Consider the following 19,335-nt stretch of genomic DNA (forward strand, 5'->3'; position numbering starts at 1 on the left):
TCTAAAACTTAAAAACATGTTGAAATAAAACAATATTTAGGTGTCCAAATACACACAGTAAAATAACAAGGGAAAACGTAGCCATGAAAGCTATCAGGATGAAAAGTTTCCTCTGGAGAAGAGAATGGGGCACATAGGTGTCTTCTAAACCTGTAGGTACTAGGGCAATTGTAGTGTTGTATTTTTGAGCTGACAGGTTAAGTGCACTAGCATTCACTATGTTATTATTCTTTATACCTTATACATATCATTGTTCTTTATTCAACAGTTAATGTACAATTTAGAATTTTAAAAGATATCATCATTCTTGGCTGGGTGTTCATTAACTATTGCCTAGTTACACCTGCCATGGACACTCCCTTATCTGACCATGTCATTCTGAAGGAATAATGCAAAGAACTAGAGACAGCTAATGTCACTTGATATTAAGAAATGATAGCCTAAAAATCAAGGAAATATTCAAACTAAAGTTGTTTCTTGGTTTCTAACAAGAAGAAGGAAAAAGAAAAAAAAGTGTGAATGAAGCATATATAAATAACTAAAATAAATGAACACATTGATTTTCTACTATATGCTAAGTATAATTAGTACAATACTCTTGATATCCATAGAATATTAAGGAAAGGTGCAATCAGCAGAGGCTAGGCCCTGTACAACTTATGTGCTCCCTTTTTGCCCATAGCCAAAATGGTCCTGAGTCTACTACCATGCCCACTTCAAATAGGCCTTCTGCAGGTTGCCCAGCAAAACATTTCACTGGAAAAAGGCATATTCGCTTACTTAAAACTGTTTATTGAGTGTCTTTCCAAAGCGCTACTCAAATTTGAAAAATTATTTTTAAAAAAGTTTTAAAAAATAGCATACACACCAAAATTATTTGTGATGATGGCCTTTGAGTGTGGGGATTGTGAGCAATTTTGATAATAAGGAATATATGCTGTTTTATGAGAAGAAACAAAACTCAATAAACTGAAAAACAAAAACAAAAAATAGCCCCATGAGACAATGACCTAACATCCCTCTCTTGACTAAGCTCAGTATAGAGACCTATTTCTTAAGTAGGGGACATATGGTCTCAGAAAACAGATTTAGAAAGATAATTTTGAAATCTGTAGGAATTGAGTAATAGATATCTCTAGAAAGTGAAACTACCTGAAAAAATTTTAATTGCAGGTAAAAAAAAATCAGAAGTATAGCTCTGAACTCCTTTGACATAAAAAAGGTTAAGAAAACAAAACAAAAACTGTGATAAGAAGAAAACTCACTATATTGAGAGGGAATTAAAGAAAGGGGCAAAGAAATAACTGAGAAATTTGAAAACTATAAAAAGAATTTTGTTTTGACATGGGAGAGTCTAAAGTCATTGCTTAGAGAAAGAACATAGAGAACAAAAGGAAAAAATGCCTAATTAATTAACATATTGGAAAAAGCAGCTATGAGAAGTGACAAGTGTGAAAACCCAGACATAATCAACTTGGACTTCCAGAAGGTTTGAGATAGAGCATCACATAAGGATTTGTAGATATAATTACTACTGCTGTTGAAATGCCAAAACTCTATGTTGAGAGTAGAGAATAAAAGGATGTTGATTTTGGCAGAAATCACAGTGGCAAAAGCATCTACATTACATTTGGTTATTTAGTATATCTATACCTGTCAACATAAAAATATATGTATGAGAGCTACCTACAGAAGAGTTTGCAATTTTAAAAAAAGGTAAATGATTTCTTTTTAAAACTAAAATCAACAACAAGTTAAGGCTCAAAAGAAAACAACAGTTGCTTAAGAATAGACATATAAATCAGTGGAACAGAAGAAAGTCTAGAAATAGACCTGCATATATATATATATAGTAAATTGATTTTTGACAAAGATGCTAAGATAATTCAAGGGAGAATGATAGTCTTCCCAATAAATGGTGCTGTAACAACCGGATGTTCATACTGAAAAATATGAACCTCAAGCCTTATCATATACCATACACAAAAATTAATTCAAAATGGTCAGAGACTCAAATAAAAGCTAAAACTAGAAAATCTCTAAAACAGAAAGCCCTCACAACTGAGGGATAGGCAAAGATTTCTTAGGATATGAAAAGCACTAATCATTTGCAAAAACTGATAAACTGAACTTCATTCAAATTAGAACTTCTGCTCTTAAAATACATGGTCAAGAAAATAAAAAGGCAAAATTTAAAGATCTAATATACAGCATAAGGACTAAAGTTAATAAAATTATATTGTATTAGGGATTTTTGTTAAATAAGTAGATTTTAGCTGTTTTTGTCACACACAAAAAAATAACTACATGAGATGACAGATATTTTAATCTACTTCACTATAGTAACCATTTTACTATCTATATGTATTTCATAACATTGATACGGAAGTGCCAGGAGGGGCATGGTCCCTTTAAATGATACGGAAGAGGTGAAGGGAAGTGCTGAAGGGAAGGGAAGTGCTGTGTGGAGGAGGGTGTGGTCCTTGGCTAGGGCTCCACCCCCGGGCCTGTGCCCATGGACCTACGTGAAGACAGGCATTTTTTTTTCCCTGCCCAAATGTTGCATTTCCCAAGAACACCCTGGCCTGCCACGCCCCCATCTTGTGCCTATAAACCCCCCCGAGACCCCAGCAGGCAGACACACAGGCAGCTGGACATCGAGAGGAGCACATCAGTGGAGGAACATATGGGCGGCTGAACATCAGGAGGAACACACCAACAGGCACCAGCATGCAAGCAGGCCATCCACCAGCAGAATGATGTGGAGTCTGGCTGGGGCAGTTGGAGGAGAGCCCAGGCCTCCAAGCGGCCCGACTCCAGGGGAAAACCATCTCCCTTCTGGCTCCCCCATCTGCTGAGAGCTACTTTCACTCAATAAAACCTTGCACTCATTCTCTAAGCCCATGTGTAATCTGATTCTTCAAGTACACCAAGACAAGAACCCAGGATACAGAAAGCCCTCTGTCCTTGCGATAAGGCAGGAGTCTAATTGAGCTAGCACAAGCTGCCTACAGATGGCTAAACTAAAAGAGCACTCTGTAACACATGCCCACTGGGGCTTCAGTTGCAAACATTCACCCCTAGACAATGCTGTGGGGTCAGAGCCCCACAGCCTGCCTGTCTGTATGCTCCCCTAGAGGTTTGAGCAGCTGGGCACTGAAGAAGTAAACTACACTCCCATCACGTGCCCTGAGAGGAGGACAAGGGAAATTTTACCTTTTCAACTGGGGGCTCATCCAGGATTGTGGAAGGTGTGAGTGAATGTGAAACTGTCGGGTCTGCCTCTCTTCCGAAACTCCACCACCTTTCTCTCTTTCCTGCGGGTAAGAGGCTCTGTTTCCCTTCACAGAGTTTTAAACCGCCCTAACTGGGCCAGTCAAAACCCCCAGACTTTGTCTCTTTTTTCTCTCTCTCTCACATGGTTTAAAATGGCTCTTATCTCTTTCTTTATAATATTAAGAGTTTTGCTACAGGCTGCGGCAATGTTACTAAGTAAAATGAGCATTTGGCTCAGCCACCAAAGGTGCAAATCAGACCAATTTTTTCCTAGAGGTGCATGTATGCCTCCACCTCGACAGTCACAGGCATGCGTGGCTCAGGGCACCTCTCCTTATTCTTACCCCTCCCAGCTCAGGCACCTGGGCATGCCTGCAGCAGGCAAAAGCCAAACCCAACAGTCACAAGGGGGGCAGGAGAAAACCAGTGGTAGCCAGGACCCCACGGGGTCAACAGATAGGGCGCTTCTCGCCTGCTGTGTCAATGGAACATTTCTCCTTTGGCCAAGGAATTCAACCCAGTCTGAACCAGGAAAAAGATATAAGAATTAGAGGAACCCAGTTGCACTAAGCAAGGGGTTCTTCCCCCAGAATCTCCCCCTTTTTGCCCCTTAAACTGTTTTTCTGTTTTTTCCTTTTCCATGTGAGAGGGCTCCCCCTCCCAACTCTGTTTCTGATATGGAAGTTAAGGGAGGAATGACCCCTGCTGGCTGAGAACTGCAAATTCAGCAGGGCTCATTTGAGACACTCTAAACAGATACAAACAGCCTCTGAAATATCTTTTCAGTCCCAAACTCGATTCCAAGCTTCAGGCTGAAGCCCTAGAAAGAAAAACCAGGTGCGAGGGATTCAAAGCCAGGCAATAGGCACAATGTAAATGGGCAGGACCAATTCCTGCCAACTGAAACCCACCCCACAGAAGGAGGCCATGCTTTATGGCATGAACAGTCCCTGGGACCTCAAAGATTGCCAACAACAGGGAGAATGGGAGGCATAGGTGACAGCGTTTAATTCCTATTCTCCAGGTTTTCTCTGCTTCATGGGTACATACTGCAATTGCACCTACGGCCAGCACCTGCCAAGGTCACCAGGGCTCAGGGATAAGAGGTAGAGAGTGAAGGGAAGATGCTCGCTTTCTCTCTCCATCACATCCTGAGTTTTCGCTGAAAGAGGGAAGGGAAATGAGGGAAGCCTCTATTCCCTGTCTTTCAGAATGGGCAAACAGTTCTCTTCACCACCGCCAGCTTATACTCCTCTGGAGTGTATCCTGAACCATTGGGACTGCTTTGACCCTCATAATCTGGAGGAAAAGCACCTCATAGCTCTCTGCACAAAGGTTTGGCCAAATTATGATTTACAGGAAGGACTGGCTTGGCCTCAGGAAAGGACCATTCATTTCAATACCATATGGCAATTGGAACTTTTCTGTAGATGCGAGGACAGATGGTCTGAGGTCCCATACGTGCAGGCTTTCTATACCTTGCAAGGCAATCCCGACCTTTGCCGACAATGTAGGATTGACCTAGCCCCTGTGTTTGCTGTCTCAGGAAGGCTGCAAGTGGCAAGGCCAGGAAATTAAAGACATGAGTCCCAGAGGCACCCCCAGCAGAGAAGCCAGCACCCTCAAGCCCTGCTCCTCTGGGTCCACCCCAACCTTTCTATCCAACTTCAGCCTCTCCCTTACCCCCTCCTAGAAATCATCACTCTAAACAAGCCCCAGTCTCACTCTTGCCTTTCCAACAGATGCCCAGTGAATTTGGGCCCAGTAAGGTCCAGGTCCCCTTCTCCCTACAGAACTTAAAGCAAATGGGGGATCTTGGCAAGTTTTCAGATGACCCTGATAGATATATAGAGGCTTTCCAGAATTTCACCCAAATATTTGAACTCTCCTGGAGAGACATTATGTCACTTTTGAATTAGAACCTGATGGACGCTGAGAAGCAGGCTGTTCTGCAAGTAGCAGAGAGATTTGGGGATGAGCTTTGTATCATGTAAAGTGTCAGGGAAGAGGGTAAATATTATCCAATTGGAAGAGAAGCAGTACCAGTGTATGACCCTAAATGGGATCCCAGTGACAAGGTGGAAGACTGGAAGAGGAGACATCCTTAGGTGTGCATAATAGAGGGCATATGTAGAACTAAGACCAAGCCTTCTCTGAGACGGCAATTATACTAAGTTGTCCATGATCGATCAGGGATTTGATGAGAATCCCACTGCCTTCCTGGAGCGGCTAAGAGAGGCCTTCGTAAAGCACACCTCTCTTATCTCTTGATTCAGTTGAGGGACAGCTAATCCCAAAGGATAAATTTATTATTCAGGCAGCCCCTGATATCAGGAGGAAGCTATAAAAACAGGTCCTGGGACCAGATAGCACTTTAGAGAACCTCCTTAAAGTAGTCACCTCGGTCTTTTATAATAGAGACAGGGAGGCCCAGCAAAGGGAGAGAAATGCAGGAAAGAGAAAGAAGCTTTAATGGCCCCCAGGCAAGCCTACAAACCCTAGAATTCCCAGAGTGCACCTGTTAACTGCTAAAGATAAGGCAAGAACAGTTTTCTCTCATTCTAAAAGTTTATCCGCTCCCATATAAGGTTTAATTTCTTTCACCAGGGTGATACAATTCAAGGTACAATATTGTTGTTCGTATATTTCACTTATCTCTGTAATCTTTGGCACTAAATTCTTTCCTTGTATAACACACGTATAACCCATGTATACTTAACCTTATAAAACTTGTTTTTTTTCTCTCATGCCTAGAAGCCATCAAACTCCAAACGGTCAGGCAACCGAAGCCTTGGACGATGGCTCCCCTTTGCTAGGAACACTTAGATAGACTGGGAGAAATCTGACTGCTGTTTTGCCCAAAACAGTGCCCCCTGTCGTCAGGAAACAGCTAAGGCCGGTCATCGTCCATATTCTAACGGCAGTAAGATATACCTCTTCAGAGGGGGATAATGATACAGAAGTGCTGGGAAGGGCATGGTTCCTTTAAATAAGACGGAATTGGAGAAGAAGTGCTGTGTAGAGGAGGGCATAGTCCCTGGCTAGGGCTCCACCCCCAGGCCTGTGCCCATGGACCTAGGTGAAGACAGGCATTTTTGCTTTCCTGCCCAAATGTTGCATTTCCCAAGACCACCCTTGCCTGCCAAGCCCCATCCTGTGCCTATAAAAACCCTGAGACCCTAGCAAGCAGACACACAAGCAACTGGACGTCAAGAGGAGCACATCAGCAGAGAAACAGATGGGCGGCTGAACGTCAGGAGGAACACACCGACAGGCACCGGCATGCTGGCAGGCCATCGACTGGCAGAATGATGTGGAGTTTGGCTGGGGCACTTGGAGGAGAGCCCAGGCTGCTGAGTGGCCGGCTCCAGTGGAAAACCATCTCCCTTCTGGCTCCCCCATCTGCTGAGAGCTACTTCCACTCAATAAAACCTTGCACTCATTCTCTAAGCCCACAGGTAATCTGATTCTTCTGGTACACCAAGGCAAGAACCCCAGTATACAGAAAGCCGTCTGTCCTTGCAATAAGGCAGGAGTCTAACTGAGCTAACATAAACCATCTACGGATAGCTAAACTAAAAGAGCACCCTGTAACACACGCCCACTGGTGCTTCAGCTGTAAACAATCACCCCTAGACACTGCTGTGGGTTTGGAGCTCCACAGCCTGCCCATCTGTATGCTCCCCTAGAGGTTTGAGCAGTGGTGTACGGAAGAAGCGAGCCATACCCCCATCACATGCCCTGTGAGGGGGACAAGGAACGTTTCCCGTTTCAACATCATATTGTAAACCTCAAAAATACACAATATTTTTAAAAATGAAAATAAAAAGACAATTGATAGACTGTGAGAAAATATTTCCAATACATATATCTAACAAAAAAGTAGTATCCATAATATACAAAGAACTCTTATAACTCCATAAGTCAACCCAATTTAAAAAAAAAATAGGCATAAGAAAACATGAGTGGTTAATAAACCCATAAAAATATAGTCACTATCATCAGTCATCAGATAAATGCAAATTATGATCACCATGATACTACCTTTACAGCCACTACAATGGCTAAAGGTATTAATAGAAAGCCTGACAATACTAGGTGATAGCAAGGATGTGGAGCAACTAGAACTCTCATAGTAGTGGGAATGCAGAATGGTATAATCATTTTGGAAAACATCTTGGCAGTTTCTTATAAAGTTAAACATTTACTTCCATAAGACCCAGAAATTCTACTATAGGTATTTACCCAAGAGAAATGAAAATATATCTGCACAAAAATGTGTACATGCATATTCATAGCAGCTTCATGCATAACAGCCCCTACTGGAAACAAACCAAATGTTCATTCACAGGTGAATGGATAAACCAGTTGTGATTTATTCATACAATGGACTACTACTCAGCAATAAAAATTATTAAACTACTAATACATGTAACCATATGGATAAGTTTCAAAATATTATGTTGAGTAAAAGGAGGAAACAAAGAGGACATACTTAGATTCAATATATAAAATTCTAGAAGAGGGAAATATAATTTATAGTGACAGAGAAGAAACCAGTGGTTGCCTAGTGCCTGGCATGGAGGGGAACTGACTGCAAAGGAGCATGAGGAAACCTTTTGGAGGTGAAGGTAATATTCTGTATGTTGATTATGGTAGTCATTACATGGGTGTACACATATGTCAACATGGGTATACTTTACTGTATATCAAGTATGCCTTAATGTCGATCTTTTTAATTGTCTTTGAAGATTGCAGATTTCATCTCTGTATATTGAATAGAAGTGTGCAGCCCTCCAAGCAACAGCCTTTAGCCAGGGTCACCTAATGATAGCCTGCAGGGCAAATCTAGCCCTATATGGCCCACAAGATGGGAATAATTTTAGTTTTCAACATTTAAAAAATCAAAGGAAGAATATTACTTTGTGCATATGAACATTATATAAATTTCAAATTTCAGTATCCATAAACAAAGTTTTATTGGGACATAGCCATGCTTATGTGTTTACATATCATCTATGACTACTTTTGCACTATTATGGCAGAGTTGAGTACTTGCGACAAAGACTATATGGCCTAAAGGCCTAAAATATTTACTGTCTGGCCCTTTACAGAAAAAGTTTGTGGCCTCTACCCTACAGTACAGGAATTCTTCCTGTCACTTCCCATTACCAAATAATGGAATTAACCAGATTGTTCTCAATCCTTTTACTTATCTCCTGTGACTGGGGAGTTGGTTCATAAGCTTTGGAGTAATATAAGGCTAAGCTCAAATCTTATTTATCACTTAACTACTACAGTTGTCCCTCTATATCCATGGAGATTGATTTCAGGACCTCCTGCAGATAGCAAAATCCATGGATATAAAAATCTGCGGATACTGAAGTCCCTTATATAAAATGGCACAGTATTTGCATATAACCTACACATGTCCTCCTGAATACTTTAAAACATCTTTAGATTACTTATATAATACCTAATATAATGCCAACACATCACTTCACTCATGAGGATTCAATGTAGTGTGAAGCAAATTCAAGTTTTGGTTTTTGGAACTCTGTGGAATTTTTTTCCTGAATATTTTTGATCCAAGGTTAGTTGAATACACGTATGTGGAACTCATGGATGTGGAGGGCTGGCTGTATATTACTTTGGGCAAATTTTTTAAGTTTTCAGTTTTCTCAGATTTTTCACTTGGAAAGTAGGGGAGATGATATACATCTCAGAGGACCACCGAAAGGATTAATGAGATAATGTAAATAAAATACATATTGTCTAGCAGTTAACAAACACTTAATATTTCTTCATATTCTCCTTCTAAATAAAGTATTTAAAAACAAGGGCTTGTCAAATGGGGGAAAAAATGAGCCTGATCACCTACCCATTAGTTTTCAAATTAGAAGGCACAAGCTATTTCCTACATTATATTAGTTCTTATGCTGGCAGAAGTTAGTTATCAAACTTCATTTACTTTTAAAAAACCTTTTATGCCTATCTTTGTACTTACATAATCATACAATATGTAGTTTGTGTCTGGCTTCTTTTGATTAACCTTATGTTCATGAGATTTACTATATTGTTGTATAGAGTTGTAGATCATTCATTATCCCTGATGTATATAGTATAATAGTACTTCACTATGAAGCTTTACTTTCTTTTCTTTTCATTTTCATTTTTAAGAGATGGGGTATCACTATGTTGACCAGGGTGGTCTTGAACTCCTGAACTCAAGCAATCTGTCTGCCTCAGCCTCCTAAAATGCTGAGATTACAGGCATGAGCCACCACACTCAGCCTATTTACTTTCGATCATAAAATTAAAATCTCTTTCTCTCTCTCTCTCTCTGTAGAGACTGGGTCTCCCCATGTCTTAAAAATAAAATGTCTTAAACTCCAAGCCTCAGGCGATTCTCCCACCTCAGTCTCCAAAAATGTTGGGATTACAGGCATGAGCCACCATGACCTGCCAAACGTAAAGTTTAACATTCTAAACTGGCCATGATGTTAAAATACCCACAGTCATGCTCCAAATAATGACATTTCTGTTAACAATGGACCACATAGATGATGGTGGTTCTGTAAGATTATAATACCATATTTTTACTGCACTGTTTCTAAGTTTAGATATTGTATCCCCATTGTTAAGCAACATATCACTGTAGTTGTTCATAGAATATTTTATTACACTTGTTGAGAATGTAATTTTACATTTAAAAAATATACCTTCAAATTGTTTATGGGTGTATGTTTAATCTCTCCAACTGATATGTTACCTCTTTCAGATAGAGAACCTTGTCAGGTGCTTCCCTATTACCCATACAAAATACACTCAATATATCTAATTTAATGAATACTTATTTATATCTAACATAGAAAACAGTGTGATGAGATTCCTGAAGCATTCAAAGAATAAGACATAGTTATTGCTTTCAATGGGATATCAGAATCGAAATGAAGAAACATAACTGAAATGCCTAAAATAATTCACAAATAATAAAAAACAATATTCATTTTATAAATATTTACTGTGCCAGGCAGAGGGTTGGGTGCTGAAACTTCAGTGATGAATAAAACAGAATCCCTGCATGAGCCTGAACTGGCCACATCCTCTGCTATCCTCTGGAAAAATGAAAGAGACTTTGGCAGAGCTAAAAAGTAACAACTCATCAGAGAACATAAACTGAGGTTCTTCAGCATACCTTCAGAAGCAGATGATCCATGGGAATTGACTATTAACCCAAGATTCTCAGAACAAAGAGTTGACTACACAAAGCAGACAGATTCCACCCATGACCATTAGAACAAACTTTTTCTATGTCACACTCTCCTTTCCATTCCTGTCTTTACGGATTATCTCTCTTGTACAATTCCTGGCTCTTTCTTCCTATGTAGGAATTAGTTTCTTTAATGCCAATCCAGGAAAAGATTAATTGTTATGCAGAGTTATTAAGCCAATTCAAGGATATGACTCCCCAGTACCCTTGGATGGATTATGTCTCATTAGAGTCCTTTCTGGGAAAACAATAACTAGTGGAACAAATGCCTAAAAATATCAACCCCATCAACAGGACAGTCAATTGGACAATTTGAACTGACAATTCAAAATTGTCCATGAAGATTTACCTCTCACTTTGGCTGATACAGTAAATAACACAGTCCAAGCCCTGGGGGAACAATTTAATTTCCTTAACTCAAATAGTTATAGTTAACTGTTATAGCTATAGATAATACAATGGTGTTGTATTTTCTCTTGGCCAACCTAAACCATTGCTAACACTTCACGCTATACCTGAACTAACATTACAGATGAAATGAAGCAACTTATATCTAAGCTAAAAAGAAAAAAAAAAGGCAGTCAAGCTACCTAGAGAAACATACAGACTTGTTTTCTTGGTCAGGCCTCAAAAATCTTATGTCTTGGTACTGAAGTGCCTTCTTGTCCCTTCTTAAAATATTTCTTGTTATTCTTGTTTGTCTTACAGTCACTTAATGCTTATTGTCCGGTCTCAAATGCTTTTGCACAGCTATTGTCCCAGCAGATGGTTCAACAAATGATTCAAAGATAAAAAGAATATGAAATCATGCTGATTGACACTTAAACTGAAAAGAGTTCTCTACACTGAAATCTCATCTTTAGGGAGAATCAACAACAGAGTTGAATGTCTGGATAATTCTTAATTATTTCTCCTGAGTGAAGAGCAAAAGTGAGAACTAAGAATAAATAAGTTTCTACACTCATTGGAAAAGACTGATTGTTCTTTAGCCACAGTAACGAGTAGCCACCACAACTGGTTTTAAATTCATTCAATCAATAAACTTGCCTCATTGAACATGCTTTAGAAGCTAGCCAATCAATGATAGTCCTTGTTCCTGAAGTAGCCAATTAGGAACTAATCAATTCCATTAAATGTATCCCTAGGGGCCAACCAAACAATGGTCATACCCAAGTAATCATACTTCTACAGATGACATTAGTCCAAATATGCTTTTGAACATTTGCCAGTTCCTGAAGCCATGCTTCTCTAAAACCCTACAGAAGATCAATAGTTGGCTCTGCTTGTGCCTGATCCCAGTATAACTCCATTACAATAGTAAGTAAAAATTCAGCTTTGTCTTTTTATTTCAGTTACTGAGTGACGGTCTCACCATCCTTTGATACCCTTTAAGCTTCCCTTTTAATAAATGCAAAAATCTTTGGAAACTTTTTGCTTTAATACATTTCCCTAGATAGTACAAAAATATAATTTAATTACCTTTGTTACACTGAACTAATACAAATGTTTAGCTTTCAAATTAAAAAGTGGTATTGTGCTAATATCTATTCTTAAAAATAGCTAAACATTTTCAATTATAGAATCATTCAGGTCAGTGTTTTGTTGTTTTTTTTTTGTGGGGGGTGAATATTCTAGGGTCACAAATCAACCTAGATTTTATTCTGGCAAATTTCCTGAGTAATTATTTTTACACTTTTCAATTATGTGGTTTCACTCAGTTATAAGATTTTTTTTGTAGATGATGTGAAAATTCCTCTAAATCATATCTGCAATGTCAGCAGGATTCAGAGCACAGGAAGCAATGTCCTAAGCAGAATACTTGAGAAAAGATGGTTGAGCTTCCCTGGTTCTACCTTCACCTTTATCAGGCTTTACAAGACCGAAAAGAGCTCTTTCCCAATGCCTCACCTCACAGGAATCAAGCATGCTGTGCCTCCAATAAAGCAGACAGTCATTTCATCTTCTGTGCATCACTGGCCTGGAGCCCAAGCATACCTATCTAAAGAATTAACCATAAATATGGATTTAGAAAGGTGTCTCAATTTGAGACCTTACAACCTAAGCTATAATAGCATAATCACACATAACAAAAATGCAATCACGAGGCTGTTAAAAAATAATCTCAAAAATTCACCTGCTTTAACTTCCTATCTTAAGGTAAGCATATTGATCAACTCCAAAAGTTAAAGGAGCTGTTTTTACAGCTAGAAAAAAAATTCTAGGAACTATAGGCCCTCCCTTCATATCTCCTTTATCATTCTCTTTATACTTCTCCTTCAACCCAAGCTGACAGACAGAGAAACCAATTAAGAGACAGAGGCAGAACAGTCACATAGACAAAATAAAGAGCTCCTACTTTCAGTTAGAATCTGGTAGAATTAAATCCTGAGGAGTGAGAAGAAATATGAAGATTAAGTAACCTGTTTAAATCTCCTGGTTGCTTAGGTTTTTCCTTTGAGATGCCATCTGGGAACAGGGTTTGAGTTAGCATCATGATTTAAAAAAAAAAAAAGACATAACTACATCATTTAATGAGGGCCTACTATGTGTCAAGTATTTAAATATTATAACTGCTGTGCAAAAAGGAAGCCTTATCATTTTATATGCAAAGAAAATAAGACTCCAAGGAATAAAGTAACTTGCCTGAGGCCAAGCTAATTAACTTGCTCAGCTACTGGGTAGTTATCCTGGGATTCCAATTATAGTCATGTTGTTACCATATGGCTACATTCTTCCTTATCTAGAAAAGTGACTCCAAGGAATGGAGTAAGGTATCAGAATCAAGGTAGAGACTCTTAATGCTGGTTTCATAGGTTCTGATTGCTCCACTGCCACCCTAAGAGAGTCACTGTCCCAGTAATCCATAGCTATTGATGATGATGATGTTGATATTAAAAAATAAGACAATAATGATGAAAATAATAGCACCTTAAATGCATCATTTCATCCTTATAACAACCCACAAGGTTGGTCTAGTCTTAGCCCCTTTATACAGGTGGGAAACAGTGCCTGAGCAGTGACTGCCTAGCTGATGCAGGTATTTGATGGTGGAAGCCAGAGCCCAAGCCCTATAAATTATCTCACACTGCATCAGAGGAATGTGTCAGATCTCTCAAGTTTGTTGGGAGTGGAAAATAGTTGAAAATCACCACTCTATAGAATAAACTAAACTCTTTATCATCTGTTCTTTAAGCTCCTTGATGATCTTGCTACAACCTATAATTTCTAACCTTATTTTTCATCACTCCTTTTAACTCCAGGAAATTTCTGGCTGTTTTCCATAAATACCCTGAGTTTTTCTCATTTGCCTAATGCTACTCCTTTTAGCTGAAACGGCATTTTCTATGGATTCCAACAAAGCAAATTGTTATCCACTATAAAACTTCCTCCCCACATAGAAAAACCTCTCCCACTATTGAACTTCCATAGCAGTTTGTCCTTCTCTCAGAACATTCAGGAGATATTTATGTGCTTGGAATGGATTCCTACTTGACTTCAGTAGGCATTGATTCGGTATGGATCCTGTGGAATGAATATCCTTCTGGGGCAATATGCCTGGCTGGAAGAAGTTGAAGATCTAATGAAACCACAGAGAAGAGGCAGCTGTAAATCTTTAGAAGTTGCCATCCTAAAAACTATGATCCTCACTAAGAGCAAAACAAAGCATCATTTTTTTTTTGAGACAGAGTCTTGCTCTGTTGCCCAGGCTGGAGTGCAGTGGCATGATCTCAGCTCACTGCAACCTCCGCCTCCTGGGTTCTAAGTGATTCTCCTGCTTCAGCCTCCACAGTAGCTGAGATTACAGGCACAAGCCACCATGCCCAGCTAATTTTGTATTTTTAGTAGAGATGGGGTTTCACCATGTTGGCCAGGCTGGTCTCAAACTCCTGAGTTCAGGTGATCCATCCGCCTTGGCCTCCCAAAATGCTGGGATTAGAGGTGTGAGTCCCACACCCAGCCCCAAACTTATTCTTATAAAACACAGTGGTTAGGAATGTAGACTGGAGCCAGTCTCCATCTTGCTGTGTGGACTTGGACAAATCACTTAACTTCTATGCCAACTGCCTCATCTGTGAATAGGAAATGATAACAGAACCTTCCTTACTGGGCTGTTGTGAGGACTCAATCAGTTCATATACATAAAGTGCCTAGAACATTGTATGGCTCATGATAAATACTATACAAATATTTGCCATTATTATTTTTGAAACTCATATGTAGATTGGAAAAGTGGCTCCAGTTCCAAGAGGGGAACTGTTAGAGATCAAAAACTTTCAGAAGAAACAATTTAGGTGAAGCATATAAAATGGCTTATATATAAATGAAGCAGTACCATTTTCCTCTGAAAAGTTACAGATCAAGAGAAGATATAACTGAACACTATAAAATAATAAATCAAATGATGGCAGAGATAGGTGAATATACACTTTCTAGGTAAAGTACAGAGACAGTAGAACCAAGGAGTCCATCTGGAAACCTGAAGGAGATTGTTTTAGGTCAAACAAATTTAAAAATTGATAGTGTCTAATAGATGAATTTAAAATTAGCTATTTAGACTTGGAATACAATTGTTTTCAGGAAAACAAGGTTTTCTGTATTGCCTGGGTTTTCTGGCTAATCCATACAAGCCAGTTTAACTTAATATTACTCTAGGAGTAACAACAGATGATTTTAATATTAATAGACTATTTTAATTGCCAGATTGTTTTAGTATTAACATATATTTTACTAGTTATGTACGACAATGGTTTTGTAACACATCATCTGTACTGTAGGAATGGCAACTCGTAAAATCATACATCATGAATGCTGGATGGGATCTGAGTGATAGCTAGGGTCACTATACTTCCTAGTTTGCCTAGCTTAGTAATGGTTTATGCTTGCCACCTTAATTATTAACAGCTCCCCCTGTTAATTAAATCACAGAGGAAATTAAGTCACAGAGAGTGTTGTGACTTAGCAAAAGTCATAAAGTTAAGAAGGGGCTAGAATTAGAACCCATAAATACTTATTCCTAGTCCAGGAGTCTTCCTATTAGACTGCATGGACTCACCAGTATTAAGACAATGGTGATGACCATGACGGTCAGGATTTGGGGCACCCGTACACATGAAATACAGAGTCTATGGGAGTAAAGCTCTTCTTATCCCAGAGGGACTTTCTGGGGTCAAAGGCTGAGGGATTCAGGGGATCCTTGCTTGTATATCTAAGGCTGGCCTATTTCCTTTCTCATTGTCCCTACTTGTGGGTTCTTGCTCAACACCTCCCTGGAATGGGAAAGGTTATGGGGGATATAAGGAATTTATTTTGGGATGTGTTGAGTGTGAGATGTCTCTTCAACATTTAACTGGAGATGTAGAACAGGAGTCCAGACTGGAGATATCAGTCTGGAAGTAAGCAATGAAAGCGTGGTATGTGAAGCTTAGGGCAGTCATCAGAGAATAAATAAGAAGAGTTCTGCAGTAAAGAACAGGGGCCAAAAGGAAGGTGAGTGGTAAGGAGATGAAAAGGGGCTCAGGGTATTGAATAACCAGCTCTAACACTGAGGGAAAGAAAAAAATGAGGCCCGTGACAATAAGCATGATAAACTGCAGCTACTACCATTATTGGAAACTCACTATGTTCTAGGCACTCTAGCAAGTACTTTATATATATTTTCTTAGCCCTCATTTCTAACCTCTGATGTAGGGGAAAAATAAGGTTACAAGAGGTTAATAAACCTGACTATGGATACAAAATAAGTAGCAAAGAAGAAATTCAGACTCAAGAGTGACTCTGAAGACTGATATTTCTACAATGCTCTGCTTACTGGGGGCCTATCTTTTGCCCTTCGTATGTGATGTCTGGATGACAGACAGTCTGGCTTGCATTTTTCTTTTGTGGAAAAATTTATTTTTATGTCTTTGTAGTTAAGATAATAACACTGAATCATGTGAACATGACTTCAGAATGAAGATACTGTCAATGCTCCTTTTGGTAAGTATGTAGAGGTCACTGGCTGTATTTCTGCTCCAAGCATGTTCTACTGGATGAGAAATGGAACATTTTTGCTCTTAGTCTGCACTGTTAGTGTCGTAGGTATATTCACATTACAAACACATGTTCAACAACCAGGAGCTCTGGTTATTTATAAAACAGAAATACTTATTAGGAAGTTTATTAGTTAATATACTGGTTATAAGTTTTGTCATGAGGGGCATTTATCTGGGCTTGGGCTTTGCTGAGAACAAGTTTTTTTCTTGAGAATATGAGTCTGTTGGAAAATATGAGATGGTGCAATTTGCATGTATGCATAAAATTCAAAAACAAGTATTGCCTAGTGAAAGTAATAGCAAAAACTAACTAGACTTTTGTTTTTAAAATTATATTAATAAAAAGTATAAACATTACTATTTTGCTAAAAGCAGTTTCATATTTGTTGATACTGAATTTCTCAGTGGTTAAAACTTATATTGTCTGATCTCCTTCCTCCAAAAAGAATCTATTAAAGCACTTTCAAAGAGTGAAAGTTAGGCATAGGCACAAAATTTAATTTATTCTGAAGTTACAGAGGAAAAAGACTGTATTGTTATAAGGAAGTAAGTCTTGGGTTCTTCTCTGGCTGTTTCATGCATTTCAATCTAATCTACAGCTAAGAGAAGATTCTTAAGGGCAGGGACAATACCTTTTATTTCTTTTGTACAGTGACTACCACAGTAGTTGGCACACTATATGTACTATATACTTGACAAAATCCTGATATTTACAATTCTCAACTTTATGTATTGAGAATTTGTTGCCATTCTACCCTTTAAAGGAAACATTTTGTTTCTCCCATGTGAAAACAGACATAGCCAAAGGCAAAGTTTTTCTACAACTAAGCTTTCAAAATAAATTTCCCATGGAATTTGGTGCTGTTAGAATTTTAGTAGAGTTCTTAATAATCTAATTTTCTGTAAGAAACAATAATTGCCTAAAATAGAAAATTCAACATTTCATTTAGAAATAGTTTAAATTCATTGTTACTAATAATATTAACAAATACCTTGTTGGAATTCAATAGAATAGGGCTATTGAATTTAAAGGCTAGAGAAGTCTCATTTTTCTTTTTCCACTGGGATACTTTATAGCAGAAAAAATATTTATATACTCCATATATACATAATCATCATAATAAAACAGAAAACCGTTAACAGTAAAACAAAAGGGGTTATTGTTGTTTTTAATCAAATGAGTAAAATAGTGGATAAGAATAATGAGATTTGAATAGTAATAGACTTATTTACATTTGTGATCACCCATCTAATTATAGTCTTTTTTTCTCCTCTTTCAGTTTTTCTTTTTTTTTTCTTTTTTTTTTGAGATGGAGTCTCGCTCTGTCACCCAGGCTGGAGTGCAGTGGTGTGATCTTGGCTCACTGCAAGCTCTGCCTCCCAGGTTCAAGAGATTCTCCTGCCTCAGCCTCCTGAGTAGCTGGGATTACAGGCGTGCACCACCACGCCCTGCTAATTTTTTGTATTTTTAGTAGAGATGGTGTTTCACCATGTTGGTCAGGCTGGTCTCGAACTCCTGACCTCGTGATCCACCCGCCTCAGCCTCCCAAAGTGCTGGGGTTACAGGCGTAAGCCACTGCGCCCGGCCTCTGCTTTCAGTTTTTCTAGGGGCAATCTTTTTGCCTCTTATAGGATGTGTCATCCAACAGATGACATGTTTATGTTTTTGTTTTTTCATAGAGGATATATATTTAGGATTTCTAATACAAAGGGGAACAACTAGTAGAAGCCTTAAATTAAATAGGGAAACAAAGATGTACTGCTGTTCCTTCTTTGCTCAATAGATTGTCAGTATGCTTATTTAACTGATAGTTTTCTTTGTACCTTCTCAGGTTTATTATGCTGTCAAGGGACTAGCCTTTGAAGAATACCGTAGGGCGTAAGGCAAACAAACAGAAAACCCTGAAGATGACAGTAAGATTCCCTTCGTTACATCTTAAAAGGAAGGCCAGCAATGCCCATCCAAACTTGGAATCCCATATTATGCTTTTGAGTTCATAAGTTAACAGGCTTTGAGCAGTCAATGGAGCATCCGAGTAAGTAGATGTGAAGGCTGGGAGAATCACTGCTTAGAGAGAAAGAACCCAAGAAACATGTCTAAGTTTGTGGAGGAAAGTATACTCTGCTTCTATGAAATCAAAGCTGTGGGTTCAATGTGCTAGTTTAACATAAATAAAAAAATTATATTCTAAAACAAACAATTGTGCCTTAAGCACACCTGGTAGTCTCATAAATGCTGACTGATGGTATAAAAGGTATAACGGATCAAGATGGTTAGCTAGATACCAACTCATCCTTACTGTTGAAGAAAAATAAACTCAAAAAGCAATGTGATTGGTGGTATGTCAAATAGGAATGTCTCTTAGCACATTACTCTGGTCTTGATATGGTCTAGCTACTCTGATTGCTCTTGGGGACTGGGCAAGAACATGAATAGAGTATAATCCATCACATCTTCTGACTGTGGTCCAGTGGCCTAAACATCACATAACAAAACCACATTTGATAGCTTCCTTCTAATTGCAAGACACATAACAAATACCACCAAACAATGTAATTTGTCACATGTAAGTAGTTTTTCTTAAATTTAAAAAATAATTTCAAAAAATGGCTAAGGGCAAAATAAGAAACTAACTCAGCCATTCCAATGCCAAAGAATTTCAAATTTAAGTTGGCTTTTTACTTTTCATTTGAAGTAAGAAATACCCATTCAGCTACAAGACCAAAATTGAGAGATGATATACTCTGAAAAAA

At 38.6% G+C, this 19,335-nt stretch overlaps 1 protein-coding gene across 18 annotated transcripts in view, besides 1 other annotated feature; it reads right to left on the reverse strand.

The window, feature by feature from the left end:
* Window positions 1–19,335, reverse strand: part of SLC41A2 (solute carrier family 41 member 2) — a 156,946-nt gene that overhangs the window by 19,833 nt on the left and 117,778 nt on the right. For 4 of the 18 annotated variants that reach the window (NM_001387128.1, NM_001387129.1, NM_001387130.1 and 1 more), the window contains one exon: window positions 12,458–12,548. The exons of the other annotated variants lie outside the window; for them this stretch is intronic. In NM_001387128.1, the coding sequence (NP_001374057.1) occupies window positions 12,501–12,548 (48 nt within the window). In that variant the 3' untranslated portion in view covers window positions 12,458–12,500. Of the gene's footprint in view, window positions 1–12,457; window positions 12,549–19,335 lie in introns of those variants that run through there. 18 annotated transcript variants of the gene reach the window in all.
* Window positions 2,758–3,052: a silencer, noted in NCBI's record as "tiled region #12146; K562 Repressive DNase matched - State 5:Enh". NCBI's record gives its function as "represses a minimal TATA promoter and a strong SV40 promoter by Sharpr-MPRA in K562 cells {active_cell/tissue: K562}" and the evidence as "EXISTENCE:reporter gene assay evidence [ECO:0000049][PMID:27701403]".

The sequence above is a fragment of the Homo sapiens genome, chromosome 12, assembly GCF_000001405.40.
Source record: "Homo sapiens chromosome 12, GRCh38.p14 Primary Assembly".
Taxonomy (NCBI): Eukaryota; Metazoa; Chordata; class Mammalia; order Primates; family Hominidae; genus Homo; species Homo sapiens.